The sequence below is a fragment of the Homo sapiens genome, chromosome 7 (genome assembly GCF_000001405.40).
Source record: "Homo sapiens chromosome 7, GRCh38.p14 Primary Assembly".
NCBI lineage: Eukaryota > Metazoa > Chordata > Mammalia > Primates > Hominidae > Homo > Homo sapiens.
The window spans coordinates 63,995,622-64,018,668 of record NC_000007.14 but is presented as its reverse complement, the minus strand read 5'-3'; the positions used below and the strand labels follow the sequence as shown (position 1 = coordinate 64,018,668).

At 38.8% G+C, this 23,047-nt stretch overlaps 1 protein-coding gene across 1 annotated transcript; it reads right to left on the bottom strand.

The window, feature by feature from the left end:
- Positions 1 to 587: 587 nt before the first annotated feature.
- On the bottom strand, positions 588 to 19,820 carry ZNF722 (zinc finger protein 722). Its single transcript, NM_001396012.1, has 4 exons — positions 19,669 to 19,820; positions 12,931 to 13,057; positions 12,350 to 12,445; positions 588 to 3,641 (listed from the first exon to the last, which is right to left on the bottom strand). Exons 1-4 carry the CDS (start codon positions 19,705 to 19,707, stop codon positions 2,749 to 2,751), a joined length of 1,155 nt encoding a protein of 384 aa, NP_001382941.1. The 5' UTR covers positions 19,708 to 19,820; the 3' UTR covers positions 588 to 2,748.
- Positions 19,821 to 23,047: the final 3,227 nt, after the last annotated feature.

Here is a 23,047-nt window from a genome sequence, read left to right as displayed (position 1 = left end):
TAAAATACCTCATATATGCCATTTTGTGTATGCAAACTACCCATAAAAATTTTTTAAAAATGTAAATAAGGTAAAAAAGAATACAAATTTCACCTATGAGAACAAAATTCTTCAACTTTTTTGCAGTTTAAATCCACTGGAGGGCCAGGTGTGGTGGCTCACACCTGTAATCCCAGCATTTTGCAGCACCGAGGCAGGTGGATCACCTGAGGTCAGGAGTTCAAGACCAGCCTGGCCAACGTGGTGAAACCCCATCTCTACTAAAAATACAAAAATTAGCCTGGTGTGGTGGCACGTGCCTGTAGTCCCAGCTACTTGGCAGGCTGAGGCAGGAGAATCGCTTGGACCCAGGAGGTGGAGGTTGCAGTGAGCTGAGATTGTGCCACTGCACTCCAGCCTGGGCAACAGAGCAAGACTCCATCTCAAAAAAAACAAACAAAAAACGCTGGCAAAAAAGAGATTACTAGAGATGTCATTCCCCTACATTAACAAATAGTATATTGTTACCATCATTTACTTAGAACTTTAAGTAAGATGAGACACATTAATGTTGATGGCAAATTAACACATTTTTCAAAGCACAATAGTTTTAACACATTAAAAACAACTTTATTTAATGAAAAATTAAGTTAAATTTATTGCATTTTATTACATAAAGGTACAATTGATAAACAATCTCTTATATCTCTGATGCAACAATTGATCAAATACTTTCACAAACAATGGGAAGAATCAACATTAAGTAATCTGAGACTTGAGTTACAATATTATTTGCTTTTCAGAAAATCTAAATTTTTTTTACAGAAAATGAAGCATAGCTCGAATGTAATTATAAATCTCCAAAAAAAACTACTTCTTTGAAATGTATATACTGTTATCTTTGGATCTCTTTTACATTCAACACTCTGATTTAGTGTAATGTCTGAAGTTTCAGTGCCTTCATTCTTTCTACTGTGAATATTTTGGATCTACAAAAATATTTAGTATAAACTGGTGTCTTCTAAGCTGTAGTTTTTGAACAAATGTTTTTTCACATTCATTACATGTTTAGGCTTTCTCTCAAATATAAATTCTCTGATGTTCCACAAAGTTTGAGCATCTGCTTCAGGGTTTTCCTTTAACATAAAATGCATACAATAACATCTGTAATGCCAGTAAAGGTATAACAATCCTCTTTATGTTTGTATGTTTGTCTTCAGAATAAATAGTCTTTACTTTAAAGGCCTATATTTTCCAAAAGGTGTTTTTACAGTAATCACATTTATAATGCCTTTTTTGTTTTTTTGAGATGGAGTCTTGCTCTGTCACCCAGGCTGCAGTGTAGCAGCTCTGTGTTGGCTCACTGCAACCTCCACCTCTCAGGTTCAAGCAATTCGCCTGCCTCAGCCTCCCAAGTAGCTGGGATTACAGGCACACGCCACCACACCTGGCTAATTTTTGTATTTTTAGTAGAGATGGGCTTTCACCATGTTGGCCAGGCTGGTCTTGAACTCCTGATCTCATGATCCACTGACCTTGGCCTCCCAAAGTGCTGGAATTTCAAGGGTGAGCCAACACGCCCAACCTATAATGCTATTATTAACTATAAACTTTCTGATATTGAGTAAAATGTGAGCTGATAGTAATGGCTTTTCACATTCTTTGTATTTCTACAATTTTTCTCTAGTATAAATGCTTTCCTGTGGCATAAGGTGTGAGAATTTATTAAAAGTTTTGCCACATTCTTCATTTCATATTTGTAGTTTTCTTCAGTATACATTATCTTACCTACCATAACGTGTGACTACCATTTAAAGGCCTTGCCACATTTAACACATTTCTAGTTTCTCACCAGTATGATTTCCCTTTTTTAGAAAAGTTTGAGGTATGGTTAAATGCTCTGTCACATTTTTATGCTGTAGAGTTTCTCTCCAGTATAAAATTTTTTTAATTAATAAGGATGGAAACCAGTTAAAGGCTTTGCCACATTTTTTTCTACAGTTTCAGGGGTTCTCTCCAATATCAATTATCTTACATTTATTCAGGTTTGAGGACTTTTTAAAGACATTGCCATATTCCTTATTGTAGGGTTTCTCTTAAGTATTACATCTCTTATGTATAATAAGGGTTCAAGACTAGTTAAAAGCGTTACCACATTCTTTGCTTTTGTAGGATTTCTCTCTAGAATGAATTAACAGATATTGTGTAAGGCCTGAGATGTGCTTAAAGGTTTTTTCACTTTTTTTTTTTAACCTTTCTAGGGTATCTCTAATATAAATTCTCTTAGGTTTTGGGAGGCTGAGGCAGGTGGATCACCTGAGGTTAGGAGTTCGAGACCAGCCTAGCCAACATGGTGAAACTCCATCTCTACTAAAAATGCAAAAATCAGCCAGTGTGGTGGCACATGCCTATAGTCCCAGCTACTCAGGAGGCTGAGGGAGGAGAATCACTTGAACCTGGAAGGCAGAGGTTACAGTGAGCTGAGTTTGTGCCACTGCACTGCAGCCTGGGTGACAAAGGGAGATACCATCTCAAAAAAATATTTTTTTTAAATAAATTCTCTTGGGTTCATTAAGGTTTGAGGGTTGGTCAAAGGCTTTGTTACATTTTTTTACATTTATAAAATTTTTGTCCAATATGGATTCTCTTATTTTCTATTAAGGTTTGGAACTTGTTAAAGGTTTGTCCATATTCTCTACACTTGTAGTGTTTTTTTCCAGCATAAATTATTGTATGTATTATAAGGCCTGAGGGCTAGAATTTGCCACATTATTTACTTTTGTAGGGTTTCTCTCCAGTATGAATTATCTTATGTTTAGCAAGACTTGAATGCCTCTTAAAAGCTTTGTCACATTCTTCACATTTGTAGGGTTTCTCTCCAGTATGAATTCTCTTATGTGTCTTAAGGGTTGAGGAGCAGTTAAAGGCTCTGCCACATTCTTCACATGTGTAGGGTTTCTCTCCAGTATGAATTCTCTTGTGGTCATTGAGGGTTGAGGATACGCTAAAGGCTTTGCCACATTCTTCACATTTGTAGGGTCTCTCTCCAGTATGAATTCTCTTGTGGTTAGTAAGTGTTGAGGAGCGCCTAAAAGCTTGGCCACATTCTTCACATGTGTAGGGTTTCTCTCCAGTATGAATTCTCTTATGTCTAGTAAGGTTTGAGGGCCACCTAAAGGCTTTGCCACATTCCTCACATCTGTAGGGTTTCTCTCCAGTATGAATTCTTTTATGTGTAGTACAGTTTGAGGAGCGTTTAAAGGATTTGCCGCATTCTTCACATTTGTAGGACTTCTCCTTAGTATGAATTATCTGATGTTGATTTAGGTGTGAAGGCATGCAAAACGATTTGCCATATTTTTTACATTTGAAATGTTTCTTTCCAGTATATCTTGTTTCATGTCTATTGCAATTTGAAAATTTACCAAAGACTATGACACACTTATGAGTCTGAAATATTTTGTTTTGGGTATTTGACAAACATTGCTTAACTTCATTATAACCTCCTTTGTGCACCTCACACTCACCCACACTTTTACAGCATTTTTTAAATTGTAAATTCTCATGTCCACATTTTCCATATGTTCTTGGTATTACTTTTTGGAGTGAATGTTTTATGCCCTGCTCTGGATGAAGGTCTTGGGTGAAATGAGAACACGTAACTGAAAGACATAAAAATCACAAGTTACTCCACTTACTAGACTCAGATGAATATACTTTACAAATCGAATATATAAAATTATACAAGGCACACTAGCAAAATGGCATATCAAATTACCACAGGCCATAATTCCTTCATAGATGTATAAACCTAACAAAATCATAGTGATCAAAATACCTTTGTTGGAAATTTATAGAATAAGTGTGTGCCCCATGTGAGCACAATGTCAAAAGCCATATAGAAAGAAAAGAAAAGTCTGCTACATTTGCCCAACACAGCCCTTCCTCATCCCCAGTAGAAGAACATGGTGTCTTTAATGACAGCTTTAAGTCTTCTGTGATCAAAAGTGAATGTTACAACAGCAGAAAGACTGAAGTACCATGGACAGAAAATAGGTGTAGAAAGTAGTTATTGACCAGTAATAAGAAATATGAAGAAGTCTTTTAACTGAAAAATAAATACAAAATTGCAGACAAGACACATCCTGAGAACATGTTTGCAAGACTCCCAGAATCTCTACCCAATACAATTGGTTTCAGGCTATGCCAGAAAAGAGCTGCATTATAAAGATTGTGAAAGGTAGTTTTATGTTAATGTCTAAATCTCAACCAAAGATTATAATGTATACAAAATATTTGGGCAACAAGGTCCAATCAAAAAAATCAAAATTTTCAAAAAGCAACTATAAAAATAAAGATGTATATATTAATTTTTAAAATTTAAGATAATCCGTATTTTGCTCAATGAGAAAAATGGAAAACCAGATATCAGATAAATGAGAATGTCAACAAAAGGCTTGGAATAATAAAAATAAACAATTGTGGAAGTAAAAAAGAATAAGTGAAATAATTTTAAAGTATGAAAAAAGTAATGTAAAAAATGAAGAAGCTAAACAAACAAACTAGGATATACACAAAAAGATCCATAACACATATTTAAGCAAAGTTTCAAAAGTCACAAACCAGAAGATAATCTTGGGAGCTGCAAGATAAAAGTGAGGTATTATTTATAAGCCTAGTCCTCCGAGACAACCAGTGAATTTGTCAACAGAAACCTTGCAGGTCAGAAAAGAACTGTGTTAAATGGTCAAAGGCTGAAAAAGAATCTTCATTGTGAGAATAATGTAATCAGCAAAAATGTACTACAAAATAAAGAAAAAAATAAAGATCTTCCAGAATAAACAAATGCTGAAAAAGCATATAAGCACTGCATGTACCCTAAATAAAATGCTGAAAAGAGGTCTTTCCACTTAAAATAATATGACGAAGAATATATAATCATATGAAAATACATAACTTTCTGAAAAACATGCATATATAAAAAAATAAAATTCCGTGGCATTATTGTGATGGTGCCGAAAACATTTTTAGTTATTCTTTAAAATTTGAAAGATATAAGCATAAAAATAATCATAAAACATAAAAATATACAATTAGCAATATCAATAAGAAGTATAGGGTAGATATAATGCGGACAAATTTTTCTATGCAACTGAAGTCATTTTTTTTTTACCAGTTTAAAATGTACTGTTGTAACTTTAACAGGTTTTATAAAATCTCTAATGTAGCATAAAGAAAAAAATCTTTATAGACACACAAAAGAAAATGAGTCAATTACTAGCATGAGACAAAGATTGATATTATATAATGGTAAAATGAGTCCATTTACTAGGAATCTATAACTATTATGTCTATCTATATGTATAGGCATATATAACATCACGGCTTCAAAATATATAAAGCAAATATTGACAAAAATGAAGCAAGAAATAAAATAGCAACATAAAATTATAAACATTAAGACCTCACTTTCAATAATGAATAAAAAATTTAAATAAAATATCAATTAAAAAACAGAAAGCCTGAATAACATTATACTGTGTATGAATTCATTTTGCAATGCTACAGAAAATAACCTGAGACTGGGTAATTTATAAAGAAAAAGATTTCTTTGGTTCACAGTTCAGTAGACTGTAAAAGAAGTATATGCCAGCATCTGCTTCTGGTGAGGATATGAGGAAGCTTACAATTACAGTGGAAGTCAAAAAAGAACCAAACATGTCACATGGTGAAAGATGATGCGAGTGTGAGGTGGAGGAACCAAGTTCCTTTAAGCAAGCAGCTCTCATGTGAATTAAGAGAGTGAGAACTCTATGATTACCAAGGGGATTGTGCCAAGTCATCCATAAGGGATTTGTCTCCACGATGCAAACAGCTCTCATTAGGCCCCACATCCAACACTGGAGATTACATTTCAATATGGGATTTGGAGGGCATCTACACCATATCACAAACCAAATAGGCTAAACAGACATGTACAGAACTCTCCAGTCAAAAGCAAGTGGATACACAATATTCTTATTTGCACCTGGCACATTCTGTTAGAACACATAAGTCTTAGTAAATTTCAAAAGATCAGCCAGGTGCAGTGGCTCACAGGTGTAATCTCAGCACTTTGCGAGGCCAAGGTGGAAGGATCACTTGTCCTGCAGCTGAGGGACTTGACTGTTGGAAGGAAAACTAACAAACAGAAAGGAATAGCATCCACATCAACAAAAAGGACAACCACACCAAAACCCCATCTGTAGGTCACCATCATCAAACACCAAAGGTAGATAAAACCACAAAGATGGGGAGGAACCAAAGCAGAAAAGCTGAAAATTTTAAAAATCAGAGTGCCTCTTCTCCTCCAAAGGATCACAGCCTCTTGCCAGCAACAGAACAAAGCTGGATGGAGAATGACTTTGACGAGTTGACAGAAGTAGGCTTCAGAAGATCAGTAATAACAAACTTCTCCGAGCTAAAGGAGGATGTTCGAACCCATTGCAAGGAAGCTAAAAACCTTGAAAAAAGATTAGATGAATGGCTAACTAGAATAAACAGTGTAGAGAAGACCTTAAATAACCGGATGGAGCTGAAAACCATGGCACTAGAACTATGTGACGCATGCACAAGCTTCAGTAGCCGATTCAATCAAGTGAAAGAAAGGGTATCAGTGATTGAAGATCAAATTAATGAAATGAAGTGAGAAGAGAAGTGAAATGAAGTGAGAAGAGAAGTTTAGAGAAAAAAGAGTAAAAAGAAATGAACAAAGCCTCCAAGAAATATGGGACTATGTGAAAAGACCAAATCTATGTTTGATTGGTGTACCTGAAAGTGACAGGGAGAATGGAAGCAAGCTGGAAAATACTCTGTAGGATATTATCCAGGAGAACTTCCCCAACCTAGCAAGGCAGGCCAACATTCAAATTCAGGAAATACAGAGAACATCACAAAGATACTCCTCGAGAAGAGCAACACCAAGACACATAATTGTCAGATTCACCAAAGTTGAAATGAAGGAAAAAATGTTAAGGGCAGCCAGAGAGAAAGGCCGGGTTACCCACAAAGGGAAACCCATCAGACTAACAGCAGATCTCTCAGCAGAAACTCTATGAGCCAGAAGAGAGTGGGGGCCACTATTCAACATTCTTAAAGAAAAGAATTTTCAACCCAGAATCTCATATCCAGCCAAACTAAGCTTCATAAATGAAGGAGAAATAAAATACTTTACAGACAAGCAAATGCTGAGAGATTTTGTCACCACCAGGCCTGCCTTACAAGAGCTCCTGAAGGAAGCACTAAACATGGAAAGGAACAACCGGTACCAGCCACTGCAAAATCATGCCAAATTATAAAGATCATCGATGCTAAGAAGAAACTGCATCAACTAACAGGCAAAATAACCAGCTAACATCATATGATGGGATCAAATTCATACCTAACAATATTAACCTTAAATGTAAATAAGCCAAATGCCCCAATTAAAAGACACACACTGGCAAATTGGATAAAGAGTCAAGACCCATCAGTGTGCTGTATTCAGGAGACCTGTCTCACATGCAGAGACATCCATAGGTTCAAAATAAAAGGATGGAGGAAGATCCATCCTCACCAAAAAAATGGAAAGCAAAAAAAAAGCAGGGGTTGCAATCCTAGTCTCTGATAAAATAGACTTTAAACCAACAAAGATCAGAAGAGACAAAGAAGGCCATTACATAATGGTAAAGGGATCAATGCAACAAGAAGAGCTAACTATCCTAAATATACATGCACCCAATACAGGAGCACCCAGATTCATAAAGCAAGTCCTTAGAGACCTACAAAGAGACTTAGACTCACACAATAATATCGGGAGACTTTAACACCCCACTGTCAATATTAGACAGATCAACAAGACAGAAGGTTAACAAGGATATCCAGGACTTGAACTCAGCTCTGCACCAAGCAGACCTAATAGACATCTACAGAACTCTCCACACAAAAGCAACGGAATGTACATTCTTCTCAGTACCACATCACACTTATTCCAAAAATTCACCACATAGTTGGAAGTAAAGCACTCCTCAGCAAATGTAAAAGAACAGAAATCACAACAAACTGTCTCTCAGACCACATTGCAATCAAATTAGAACTCAGGATTAAGAAACTCACTCAAAACCGCTCAACTACATGGAAACTGAACAACCTGCTCCTGAATGACTACTGGGTACATAACGAAATGAAGGCAGAAATAAAGATGTTCTTTGAAACCAATGAGAACAAAGACACAACATACCAGAATCTCTGGGACACATTTAAAGCAGTGTGTAGAGGGAAATTTATACTACTAAATGCCCACAAGAGAAAGCAGGAAATATCTAAAATCAACACCCTAATATCACAATTAAAGGAACTAGAGAAGCAAGAGAAGACAAATTCAAAAGCTAGCAGAAGGCAAGAAACAGCTAAGATCAAAGCAGAACTGAAGGAGATAGAGACACAAAAAACCCTTCAAAAAATCAATGAATCCAGGAGCTGGCTTTTTGAACAGATCACCAAAATTGATAGACCACTAGCAAGACTAATAAAGAATAAAAGAGAGAAGAATCAAATAGACACAATAAAAAATGATAAAGGGGATACCACCACCGATCCCACAGAAATACAAACTACCATCAGAGAATACTATAAACACCTCTACACAAATAAACTAGAAAATCTAGAAGAAATGGATAAATTCCTGGACACATACACCCTCCCAAGACTAAAACAAGAAGAAGTTGAATCCCTGAATAGACCAATAACAGGCTCTGAAATTGAGGCAATAATTAATAGCCTACCAACCAAAAAAAGTCCAGGACCAGATGGATTCACAGCCGAATTCTACCAGAGGTATAAAGAGGAGCTGATACCATTACTTCTTAAACTATTCCAATCAATAGAAAAAGAGGGAATCCTCCCTAACTCATTTTATGAGGCCAACATCATCCTGATACCAAAGCCTGGCAGAGACACAACAAAAAAAGAGAATTTTAGACCAATATCCCTGATGAACATCGATGCGAAAATCCTCAATAAAATACTGGCAAACCGAATCCAGCAGCACATCAAAAAGCTTATCCACCACGATCAAGTCAGCTTCATCTCTGGGATGCAAGGCTGGTTCAACATACACAAATCAATAAACGTAATGCATTGCATAAACAGAACCAAAGACAAAACTATATGATTATCTCAATAGATGCAGAAAAGGCCTTTGACAAAATTCAACAGCCATTCATGCTAAAAACTCTCAATAAACTAGGTATTGACAGAATGTATCTCAAAATAATAAGAGCTATTTATGACAAACCCACAGAAAGTATCATACTGAACGGGCAAAAACTGGCAGCATTCCCTTTGAAAACTGGCACAAGACAGGGATGCCCTCTCACCACTCCTATTCAACATAGTGTTGGAAGTTCTGGCCAGGGCAATCAGGCAAGAAAAATAAATAAAGGGTATTCAATTAGGAAAAGAAGAAGTCAAATTGTCCCTGGCTGCAGATGACATGATTGTATATTTACAAAACCCCATTGTCTCAGTCCAAAATCTCCTTAAGCTGATAAGCAACTTCAGCAAAGTCTCAAGATACAAAACCAATGTGCAAAAATCACAAGCATTCCTATACACCAATAACAGACAAACAGAGAGCCAAATCATGAGTGAACTTCCATTCACAATTGCTACAAACAGAATAAAATACCTAGGAATCCAACTTACAAGGGATGTGAAGGACCTCTTTAAGGAGAACTTCAAACCACTGCTCAATGAAATAAAAGAGGACACAAACAAATGGAAGAACATTCCATGCTCATGGATAGGAAGAATGAATATTGTGAAAATGGCCATACTGCCCAAGGTAATTTATAGATTCAATGCCATCCCCATCAAGCTACCAATGACTTTCTTCGCAGAACTGGAAAAAACTACTTTAAAGTTCATATGGAACCAAAAAAGAGCCCACATTGCCAAGACAATACTAAGCCAAAAGAACAAAGCTGGAGGCATCACACTACCTGACTTCAAACTATACTACAAGGCTACAGTAACCAAAACAGCATGGTACTGGTACCAAAACAGAGATATAGACCAATGGAACAGAACAGAGCCCTCAGAAATAACACCACATATCTACAACCATCTGATCTTTGACAAACCTGACAAAAACAAGAAATGGGGAAAGGATTCCCTATTCAATAAATGGTGCTGGGAAAACTGGCTAGCCATATGTAGAAAGCTGAAACTGGATTCCTTCCTTATACCTTATACAAAAATTAATTCAAGATTGATTAAAGACTCAAATGTTAGATCTAAAACCATAAAAACCCTAGAAGAAAACCTAGGCAATACCATACAGGACATAGGCATGGGCAAGGACTTCATGACTAAAACACTAAAAGCAATAGCAACAAAAGCCAAAATGGACAAATGGGACCTAATTAAACTAAAGAGCTTCTGCACAGCAAAGGAAACTACCATCAGAGTGAACAGACAACCTACAGAATGGGAGAAAATTTTTGCAATCTACCCATCTGACAAAGGGCTAATATCTGGAATCTACAAAGAACTTAAACAAATTTGCAAGAAAAAATCAAACAACCCCATCAAAAACTGGGCAAAGGATATGAACAGACACTTCTCAAAAGAAGATATTTATGCAGCCAACAGACATGTGAAAAAATGCTCATCATCACTGGTCATCAGAGAAATGCAAATCAAAACCACAATGAGATACCATCTCACACCAGTTAGAATGGTAATCATTAATACATCAGGAAACAACAGCTGCTGGAGAGGATGTGGAGAAATAGGAACACTTTTACACTGTTGGTGGGACTGTAAACTAGTTCAACCATTGTGGAAGACAGTGTGGCGATTCCTCAAGGATCTAGAACTAGAAATACCATTTGATCCAGTGATCCCATTACTGGGTATATACCCAAAGGATTATAAATCATGCTACTATAAAGACACATGCACATGTATGTGTATTGCAGCACTACTCAACAATAGTAAAGACTTGGAACCAACCCAAATGTCCATAAAGAATAGACTGGATTAAGAAAATGTGGCACATATACACCATGGAATACTATGCAGCCATAAAAAAGGATGAGTTCATGTGATTTGTATGGACACGGATGAAGCTGGAAACCATCATTCTGAGCAAACTATCACAAGGACAGAAAACCAAACACCACATGTTCTCACTCATAGGTGGGAATTGAACAGTGACAACACTTGGACACAGGGCGGGGAACATCACACACCAGGGCCTGTCGTGGAGTTGGGGGATGGGGGAGGGATAGCATTAGGAGAAATACCTAATGTACATGACAAGTTAATGGGTGCAGCAAACCAACATGGCACATGTATACATATGTAACAAACCTGCACGTTGTGCACAAGCACCCTAGAACTTAAAGTATAAATATATATATATATATATATATATACACACACAAACACACAAATGGGAAGAAGCACTTGAAAGGTTGCACAAAATTAATAATTTATAGAAAAATGCGAAACAAAATCACAATACAAAACAAAATTACCTTACATCAGTTAGAATGGCCACTATACATTTTTTCAAAAACACCAACTATGTTGATGATGTAAAGAAATTGAAACCTATGTAAATGGTTGAGAAAAAAGATGCAGCCATCATAAAAATATCATAAATGTCCTTCAAATAATTAAAAATGAAATTATCATGTAATACAGCAACACCATTTATGAAACTATATCTAAAATATACAACACAGTAAAATGAAGACAAAAGAAATATCCTGCTTGCATATCCCCCCACAGCAAGTATCATAACCCAGCCTCTAAATAAATAAATAAATACATACATATATAAAAATTTAAAAATGAAAAAAATTTGTAAAAAAACTTTATATTTCAAGGCTATAGTAATAAAAACAGAATGGCCTGTGTAGAAAAATGGACAACCACCAATGAAACAGAAATTACTATTCTCACACATTTTAGACATGATGCAAAAAAAATTTTATAAATAGTTTAACGTAGAGTTTCTCAAAAATATGCAAATATTAGTGTGTCCCCAAAAGCTATGGCAAAGCAGTCAGTTTGTGCAGTCCCTGATAAGCCATAAAGAAAACTCTGGCTCACACTGTGAACTTGAAGAAAGATTATTGAAGTGGAAGTAGAATCCTTAGAGAATTTAACAGCATGGGGCAGAAGGTGTCCCTATGTGAGAGCAAAAGAAAAAAATGACTCGAGCCTCTCAGAAACTCTTTCCATCGAAGCACAGCTCCCCAGACCACATTTCAAGGACTGGCTGCCTTGTTGATTTGTGTATCTCTCATCTGTGTCATCTGCTTCATTCGCTCTCACCTACCTGGGTGTTTGGCTACCATCTCATTTCTCTTTATATTCCAAGCCTCTTTATTTTGCTCCAGACAGGTAATCAAGTCTGGCTTAGAGTCAGCAATACCTGTTTTATTAAGAAAAAAAAGTAAGATAAATCTTGCTGAATTCTTTAATTACCAAACTAGTATTATGGTTAGTAAAGAGGATTTAATAGAAAATTCTAGAAAATTAAAGTTGATTCATAACAGACCTTTCTACATATTTAGAAAATATTTTAAATTTGTAAGTCCTTATTTTCACTACTCAGTACTACTGAATCAAACATTGGTGGTGGCAACTGAATTCTAAGGCGTGGGAAACGCTATTTTATGCCATGACATTTTTGGAATTGCAACTAACCTAGAGCAAAAGATACATAAGCTCAGGAAAGGGAAAAGTTCAGGTCAAGATAAAACATCGTGAAGAATCTGTTCTACACCAATGAATCCCCAAGATTTTCTTAAAATTGGAGAGCTAAAAATTATTCATGCAAAGCAGAAATTACCAAAATCATCTTAGAAAAGAGAGAAAGGCAATATATTAGGAATTGTGTATTGAAGTTTTCCTCACCCAGGGAGACCAGGTTTCTGTAGTTCTCTAACATCACATCTCTATATAAATTCTGCTGAGCACAATCCAGGCATTGCCACTCCTCCAGAGAGAATTCTATAGCTATGTCTCTGAATGTCAACAGTCTCTGAAAAAAACAAAAACAAAAACAAAAAACACTCATGAACACAGTTACCATGTGGCCATAGGCAGAGATTTGTATTTGACTCAAGTTAAAAAAGAGAGTAAAATGAAGTGGTTCTCACTTATAAGACTGACTAAAATTATTCGATAAGATAATTTTTAACACTGAAGTATTCTCTAACTCTAAGAAAAGAGAATAGCATAAGATCCACAATACCACTGTAGATTTGATAGTTTTCTGGATGATAAATTATAAAATTAAGGGCATCAACATGGACATGTCTTTTTTTTCTATTTTTCTTTTCTTCTTTTTTTTGAGACCGAGTTTCACTCTGTTGCCCAAGCTGGAATGGGAGTGGCATGATCTTGGCTCAGTGCAACCTCCACCTCCCGGGTTCAATCGATTCTCCTGCCTCAGCCTCCCAAGTAGCTGAGACTACAGGCGTGAGCCACCATGCCTGGCTGATTTTTGTATTTTTAGTAGAGATGGGGTTTCTCCATGTTGGCCAGGCAGGTCTTGAATTCCTGACCTCAGGTGATCCACCCACCTCGGCCTCCCAAAGTGCGGGACATGTCTATTTTTAAGGGCTATATTTACATCATACAGAATAAGTTGTGTTATTTCTCAGATAGAACAGTCATGATGACTTGGAAGGTACCTCTCAAGTCTTAATATGTGCAATAAACTAAACATCTTGTGCAGATTTTGTTTCAGGAGATTTGGGATAAAGTCTGAATTTCTGAATTTTTAGCAAGCTCACCAATGTTTCTAGCCTAGTAAGAATATTTTGTCAAACATCCAGTAAGTGGCAGAGTCTGAGTTTTTCCCAGTTTCTCTCACCTGTAAATAAAGAGCCTTCATTTTTAAAAGACAAATATATGCAAAAGTCATCTAAAAAGAAAGGACAGATTCCAGATTAAATGTGATGGTTTATGCACTTCAGCTAGTAAATCTCCTAAGTGTACTTAATAATTAAGAGAATAATAATTAACTCTATAGTGGAAAAAATGTCAGAGACATCGTGAACCAAGTGAATAAAATTGTTATCAACTTTATTAGGACACATTTGTATTATGTGCTGATGCACACAGGACACAACATCACTGCTGTGGTATTTCTCACCTCTCAGAAAAGTAAATGGTAATCCAAATTTAATTTTATATATATATATATATATATATATATATATTTTTTTTTTTTTTTTAAGAGACAGAGTCTCGCTCTGTCACCCAGGCTGGAGTGCAGTGGTGCAATCTCATCTCACTGCAACCTCCACCTCCTGAGTTCAAGCAATTCTCCTGCCTCATCCTCCTGAGTAGCTGGGATTACACGTGTGTGCACCACACCTGGCTAATTTTTGTATTTTTTTTTTTTTCCGTAGAGACGGGGTTTTACCATGTTGGCCAGTCTGGCCTCGAACTCCTGACCTCACATGATCCGCCTGCCTTGGCCTCCCAAAGTGCCGGGATTACAAGCCTGAGACACTGCGCCCGGCCTAAATTTAATTATAAAGAAACCATCAGTTTTATGCAAAGTCGAAGGTGCAGATAACTTCCCTGTTCTGTAATTTTTAATAGTAATTTTAAGTAGTCTTTCTTTAGCACCCTGGAGAGCAAGTATCTCCTTATAGCTTTTTCAGAACTTTCTGGGCAATACACGCCATTCTGTATAAATGAGCATTTTCTAAATCCTGTCCTGCATGGAACTAATAGAGCACACAGATGAAAACTCAACAGGACATGTTTCACTTTTCACTAATATCCAAAGACAACTGTGTTTCCCCAATAGAAATCTTGAGTATTTACACCTTCTCATGTTCAACAGCTACAATGGGAACATTTTAAATATTGCAGGTCATAAATTTGTAGTGAGAATTCTGCATGGTATACAAGAACCCAAGATGAAAAGTATGTATAGAACACCATGGCATATAGAAAAAATATTTTTTTTCAGAACGCCTTGACTATCATAAAAATAACAAAAAATAGTTGAAACAAACTCATTAGGGATCAACAGTACAAGTACAGAAGTAAAAATTTGCAAGTTCCAAACAGATGGCATTCCAAAAGGCAGAGTGGACACTGTGCTTGATCTGAGACATGTTCACCAAGAAAAAGTGATTTTTTTCTTTTCCTCCTCTTTCTCTGAAATGTATTTTCAGATAAGATGCTCTGGACATATCAAACCTGCATCTTGAGAATATGCCTTTAAAGCACAACCTATTCACCTGCTACCGCCACACACACCCACGGCAGAAAGACCGAGACTTGCAGAAAACATTCACCCATTTTTGTTGTTTATAACTGAAAAGATTTAAGAGCAATGAGAGAACAATGAGCTTCTCCATAACTATTAAAATATAAGTTTCTTTTTCCCTGCCCTCCCCTATCAGACACCAGCAATGTTCTTTACAGTAATGGGAGCATGAACCGCACTGACCTCTTCCTACCAAACTGAAACAGGGCAGGCAGTGCAGCCTTCCTTTGATGCAAAGGTTGAACTAAACTCTCCTGAATGTATCTTGAACCCCTCAAGTTTATAAATCACTTGGTAATCTTGGCCCTGCTTTTCGCAATGTGATTCTGCAGGATCCAAAAAGTTCCAGGAATGGGCTTTTTCAACAAGTCCCCTGTAAATGCTGACTGTGCTTTCCCAGACACATTATTAGCATTAGCGAGAGAAAGCAGGCACAGCAGAGTCCCTTACACCCACCACATTTGTCACAAAACAAATACATCTGGTACAAATAAAGACAACCAATCATCATGCTGAAATATTTTTTGTTGGCTTTTTTAAGTTTACAGGGACAACAGAAGACAGCAATATCTGAGTAAGTCTGCTCTTGGGAAATGTGTATGCATGTACTAAAAAAATGTTTATTAAGCAGGTACTATGTGCTCTGGAGCATGTCACAGAACACTGTGCTGGGAATAACACATAATGTGATTTAATTTTCATAGCACTCTGGGAGTTGCTACTAAGTGTTGAATAATTTTTAGTATTTAGATTAAGAGCACAGCATTTTTATTTCTTCTTATGTTTCTCTATCATTACTTTTAAAAAGAAAACGTATAGAATAATAATACCACAAAAAACATATGAAATGATACAATTACATAAAAATTGAATAATCAGCTTCGAAATGGCTATTTGTAAATAATGAAATTAAGGCAGACACAAAAAATTTTTTGAAACTAGTTAGAGCCAAAATACAACATACTAGAATCTCTGGGTTACAGCTAAGGCAGTGTTAAGAATAAAATGTATGTCACTAAACATCCACATCAAAAAGTTAGATCTCAATTTAAAAATCTATTGTTACAATTAAAAGAATTTCAAAAGTAAGAGCAAACCAACTTCAAAGCTCACAAAAGACAAAAAATAACCAAAATCAGAGCTGAAATGAAGAACGTCGAGACATAAATAGTACAAGGAGCTGGGTGCTGTGGCTCACTCCTGTAATCCCAGCACTTTGGGAGTCCAAGGCGGGCAGATCACAAGGTCAGGAGTTTGAGACCAGCCTGGCCAACGTGGTGAATCCCCATCTCTACTAAAAATACAAAAATTAGCTGGGCGTGCAGCACATGCCCATAATCCCAGCTACTCGAGAGGCTGAGGCAGGAGAATCTCTTGAAACTGGAGGGCAGAGGTTGCAGTGAGCCGAGATTTTGCCATTGCACTCCAGCCTGGGCAATAGAGTGAGACTCCATCTTAAAAATATATATATATATATTTCAACGAAACCAGAAGTTGATTCTATGTAAAAATGACTAAGATAGATAAAACACTAGACTAATGGAGAAAAAAGAAATAATTCAAATAAAAACAATTAGACTAAAAAGTCAAACAAATAAACAAACAAAAAACCAGATGCTTGTGAGGTTGTGGAGAAACTGAATGCTTATACACTGCAAGTGAGAGTATAAATTTGTTTAAACATTGAGAAAAGCAGTTTGGCATTTTTTCAAAAACCTGAAAACAGAATTACCATTCTGAATCCCACAATTGGGAATATACCCAATGAATGTAAGTTATTCTACCATGAAGACACATGCACATGTATGTTTATTACAGCACGATTCACAATAGCAAGAACCAGAAATAAACCTATATGTCTTCAGTGGTAGAGTGGATAAAGAAAATGTGTTACGTAAACACCATGAAATATGATGCAGCTATAAGGAAGAACAACATCATGTCCTTTGCAGCAACGTCAATGGAGCTGGAGACTGCTATTTTTAGAAAACTAGTGCAGGAACAGAAAATCAAATACTATATGTTGTCACTTATAAGTGGGAGCAAAATAATGAGAACACGTGGACACAGATAAGAGAACAACAGACAGACACTGAGGCCCAGTTCAGGGTGGAGGGTCGGAGGATGACGAAAATCAGAAAACAAATCTGTTGGATACTATGCTTACCACCTGAGTGATAAAATAATCTGTACACAAAAACTTCATGATATGATTTTACCTATACAACAAACCTGCACATGTACTCCTGAACCTAAAATAAAAGGTAAAAGAAAAAAAATTCGGCTGCGCACAGTGGCTCATGCCTGTAACCCCAGAACGTTGGGAGGCTGAGGCAGGCAGATCACCTGAGGCCAAAAGTTCAAGACCAACCTGTCCAACATGGTCAAATCCAGACTCTACTAAAAATAAAAAAATTAGTTGGATGTGGTGGTGGGAACTGTAATTCCAGCTACTCTGGAGACTGAAGCAGGACAATCACTTGAACCCGGGACACGGAGGTTGTAATGAGGTGAGATCACACCAATGCACTCCAGCCTGGGCGGAGAGTGAGACTCCGTCCTGCTCCCGCTCCCCCCGCCAAAAAAAAAGACACAGTTGAAAAATGCAGGCTGGGTGTGATAACTTATTCCTGTAATCCCAGCACTTTGGGAGGCTGAGGCAGGCTGATCACTTGAGTCCAGGAGTTTGAGACCAGCCTGGCCAACATGGCAAAACTGTGTCTCTACTAAAAATAAAAATGTCAGCTAGGTGTGGTGGTGGGTACCTGTAATCCCAGCTACTTGGGAGGCTGAGGCAGGAGAATCACTTGAACCCGAAAGCCAGAGGTTGCAGTGAGCTAATATCGCACCACTGCACTCCAGCCTGAAGGACAGAGCGAGACTCCCTCTCAAAAAAAAAAAAAAAAAAAAAAAAAAAAAAAAGGCCGGGCATGGTGGCTCACGCCTGTAATCCTGTAATCCCAGCACTTTGGGAAGCCCAGGTGGGTGGATCACCTGAGGTCGGGAGTTCAAGACCAGCCTGACCAACATGGAGAAACTCCGTCTCTATTAAAAATACAAAATTAGCTGGGGTGGTGACGCATGCCTGTAATCCCAGCTACTTGGGAGGCTGAGGCAGGAGAATCGCATGAACATGGGAGGGGGAGGTTGCAGTGAGCCAAGATCACGCCATTGCACTCCAGCCTGGGTAATAAGAGCGAAACTCTGTCACACACACACACACACAAAAAAAAAAAAAAGTAAGGGAAAAGCAGTTTCCTTTGCAGTGTAAAAATATTTAAACAGTAGGTAATTAGGCTGAGGTGGATTGATTTTTTTCGGTTCTCACTTAAAAAAAAAATCTAACTCAAATGTATCTCTTATGGTTGGGTGAGGTGGCTCACGCCTGTAATGCAAATGCTTTGGGAGGCCAAGATGGGCGGATCACTTCAGGTCAGGGGTTCGAGAGCACCCTGGCCAACATGGTGAAACCCCGTCTCTACTAAAAATACAAAAATTAGCCTGGTCGTGGCGGGCTCCTGTAATCCCAGCTACTCGGGAGCCTGAGGTGGGAGAATCGCTTGAACCCGAGAGGGGGAGGTTGCAGTGAGCCGAGATCGCGCCATTGCACTCCAGCCTGGGTGACAGAGCGAGACTCCCTCTCAAAAAATAAATAAACAAATACATTTCTTGTAAATTATTATATTGAAGAAAAAAATTCAGGCCTAGTCAACCACAGACTGGCAACTAATCTCTGATGACATAACCAAGGCATTTTCACCTGGATCTTACAAATAAGGAAACTACATAACTGTACCAAACCAATTACTGAATTTGGTTTCCTTCATCACGCAACTTATAACAGAATTTCCTTCAAGTCTCTCCCATGGATCACAACCCACAAATCATAGCTGGGCGCTCTATGACTCTTGAATCACACTTTGATCAAGTTCTCTAATATTTTTACAGTGACTCCCATACACCTCTAAAAGGAAAAATGGTGAACTAGGGACCCCAGGGACCACAGCTCTTACCACTTATGAATCCTGCACCCTGAGTCTGGATTCTCCCCTGATGACTTTCCCATCCCTGTACAATCTGGGTGAGATGAGGCGCTGGGAGTGCAGAGCTGCCCAGAGAGGCCTCCAGTCCAGGGCAAAGCCACTGCAGAGGAAAAAGACAGAACTCCCAGGGTCCCAGCCGCTGGCCCAGGCAGCATCTTACGGTTCGAGGGGACTAAAAGCCGAGCTGGGACAAGGAGGATTTGGGTCCTCAGACTCCAGAGCTGACTGCGAGGAAGTTTGGGTCCTGCTACAAGCCACTTTCAGCCGGTTCCAACCGTCTCCCGCCCCTCTCACGATGACAGACCCAGCACTCACCATTTCTCGGCTTCCAGGGGATCCCGGTCTTTCAGCCATAAATCTGCGAATACCTGCAGGACACAAGGCCACAGAGGCTTGGCCTCTAGGAGCAGAGAATGCAGAGCCCTGAAGAAAAGAACTGGAGCTCGGGACGCAGAGAAGCACAAAAGGACCCGCAAACTTACGGAAGCGTCCTGGTCTCTCCAGCTGCACGCCTGATTGGCCAGTTTCTAGTCCACGGCCCCTGATTGGATAAGGTTTCAGGCCCCACCCTTCATGCCTGAATGACACAATATTTGATCACTGGGCTGAAGGAAGCAAAAATAACAGGCTGGGCTGCAGCCTTTACAGGCAAGGCTTCTTCCCTGATCTCAGCCAGGCCGACACCGGAGGATATTTGCATTTAACCTTGTGTATAACGTCATATGCATTTATAAATGATATATAATATAGTTATTCATAAATTGAAAGAATATAATGACAATTATTTTAAAAATTTGGATGTTGTGACCTTCCTTGCTGTGGATCCTTTGCACAGCATATGATATAGTTTGACTCTGTGGCTCCACCCAAATCTCATCTCAAATTGTAATTCCCATCCATGTGCGGTGGCTCACGCCTGTAATCCCAGCACTTTGGGAGGCCGAGACAGGCGGATCACGAGGTCAGGAGTTCAAGACCAGCCTGGCAATATGGTGAAACCCCTCCTCTAGTAAAAATACAAAAATTAGCCAAGAGTGGTGGCGCGCGCCTATAGTGCCAGCTACTCGGGAGGCTGAGTCAGGAGAATTGCTTCAACCCAGGAGGCGGAGGTTGCAGTGAGCCTAGATGGCACCAATGCCTTCCAGCCTGGATGACAGAGTGAGACTCCCTATCAAAGAAAAAAAAATTGTAATTCCCACGTGTCAGGGCAGGGACCGGGTGGGAGGTGACTGGATCACTGGGGTGGATTATCCTCATGTGTTCTTGTGATAGTAAGGGAGCTCTCAAGAAACCTGATGGTTTAAAAATGTGGCACGTCCCCCCGCCAGCCCCAAGTTCTTTCTCTTTTTCCACCACGTGAGATGTGCCTTGCTTTCCCTTCACCTTCTGTCATGGTCATGATTTTAAGTTTCCTGAGGATTCCTCAGCCATGTAGAATTATGATTCAATTAAACCACTTTTTAAAAAAGTACGCAGTCTGAGGTATTTGTTTATAGCAGTGTGAAAATGGACTAATACATTCAGGCACCCTGAGATTTCAAAAAGGAGGCAATCCTTTGCAGTAAAATATGAGCCACATGTAAATTTTGAACGTGCTAGTAGCCAAATGTTAAAAAGTAAAAAGAAAAAGGTGTCAGGCGCAGTGGCTCACACCTGTAATCTCAGCACTTTGAGAGGCCGAGATGGCGAAACACCTGAGGTCAGGAGTTCGAGACCAGCCTAGCTGACATGGCGAAACCCCGGCTCTACCAATAATAGAAAAATTAGCTGGGTGTGGTGACAGGCACTTGCAATCCCAGCTACTCTGGAGGCTGATGTAGGAGAATCGCTTGAACCCCGGAGGCAGAGGTTGCAGGGAGCTGAGATCCCGCCACAACACTCCAGCCTGGCAACAGAGCGACTCTGTCTCAAAATAAAAAAGAAAGAAACAGGTGGAATAACAGGTGGAATTGATCGTAACAATTTAATCCGTCCAATATATCCAAAATATTGTTATTTTAATATCTGATTAGTGTATAATGGTTAACAAAGCATATATGTTTTTGAAGCTTAATCTTTGAATGTACCCTTGCATTTTACCTTTCCAGCACATTGCAGTTCAGACCAGCCACATTCCAGCACTCTGTGGCCATGTCAGAGGTGTTAGAACCAGAGCAACTGCATCTGGAATAGGTTCTGGGTAAAACAGGGCTGACACCTACAGGACTGCTTTTCCATGCGGTCAGGCATTCTAAGTCACAGGATAAATAGATTAGCATAAGATACAGTTCACAAAGACCTTGCTGATAAAACAGTTTGCAGTAAAGAAGCCACAAAAATCCACCAAAACCAGTTGCGAACAAAAGGGACCTTTGATTGTACTCATGGATCGTTACACGCGAATTATAATGCATTAGCATGTGAAAGACATTCCCACCAGCACCATGACAGTTAACGAATGCCACGGCAACATCAGAAAGTGACCTTACATGGTCTAAAAAGGAGAAAACTCAGTTCTGGAAATTGCCATCCCTTTCTTGTAAAACTCATGAATAATCCACTCCTTGGTTAGAATATAATCAAGAAATAACTGTAAGTATCCTTCGTTGAGTGGCCCACACTGCTGCTCTGCCTACGGAGTAGCTGTTCTTTTATTCCTTTACTTTCCTAATAAATTTGCTTTTGCTTTGCACTGCAGACTCACCCAAAATTCTTTCTTTTCTTTTTTTTTTTCTTTGAGACAGAGTCCAGCTCTGTCACCCAGGGTGGAGTGCAGTGGCACCATCTTAGTTCATTGTAACCGCTGCCTCCTAGGTTCAAGAGATTCTCCTGCCTCAGCCTCTGGAGTAGCTGGGATTACAGGCCCACGCCACCATCGTATTTTTAGTAGAAATGGGATTTCACCGTCTCAGCCAGGCTGGTCTCAAACTCCTGACCTCAAGTGATCCTCCTGCCTCTGCCTCCCAAATTGCCAGGGTTACAGGTGTGAGCCACCACCCATGGCTCTAAATTATTTATTGTACAAGATCCAAGAACCCACTCTTTGGTTCTGGATTGGGACCATTTCTGGAAGCTTCTTTTCAGTGAATCACAAAGGAATGATACTAAGGAAACCACCAACCCACAGGAAATAGACTGAATCACCAACTGGCTAACCTTTTGCAAGTGTTGGCATACCCGGGTATGGAATGGGATTGGGTTAGTAGCCAAATTTACGGGAGTTAGAGTGTCTCCTAAGACAGATAAGATAAAAGGTCCTTTTTAATAAAAGGCAAGAACACTTAACAAAATTTGTGGTTGAGGTGCAACTTTGAAAGGTTAGAGTCTTTCCTAAGATTTAGGGGGTTAGAGGCCCCTCTCAGTAAAGTCCCTCTGAGCTAAGATTAGATTTGGCATTATGGAATGTTAACCACTGCTGTCTTTGTTTGTTTGTTTGTTTGTTTGTTTTGAGATGCAGTCTCACTCTTGTCGCCCAGGCTGGAGTGCAATTCGACACCTCGGCTCACTGCAACCTCCACCTCCCAGGTTCAAGCGATTCTCCTGCCTCAGCCTCCTGAGTAGCTGGGATTACAGGAGCCCACCAGCACACCCAGCTAATTTTTGTATCTTTAGTAGAGACGGGGTTTCACCATGTTGGCCAGGCTGGTCTTGAACTCCTGACCTCAGGTGATCCACCCACCTTCGCCTCCCAAAGTGCTGGCATTACAGGTGTGAG

What these genes read in the sequence shown, in the direction of transcription:
- ZNF722 (NM_001396012.1), bottom strand. Translation starts at nt 19,707, where the DNA reads ATGGCTGAAAGACCGGGATCCCCTGGAAGCCGAGAAATG. An exon ending in CAGAAACCTGGTCTCCCTGG is followed by an intron (nt 12,446 to 12,930) that starts GTGAGGAAAACT and finishes TTAATAAAACAG; the next exon opens with GTATTGCTGACTCTAAGCCA. An exon ending in GATGGTAGCCAAACACCCAG is followed by an intron (nt 3,642 to 12,349) that starts GTAGGTGAGAGC and finishes TATGTCTTTCAG; the next exon opens with TTACGTGTTCTCATTTCACC.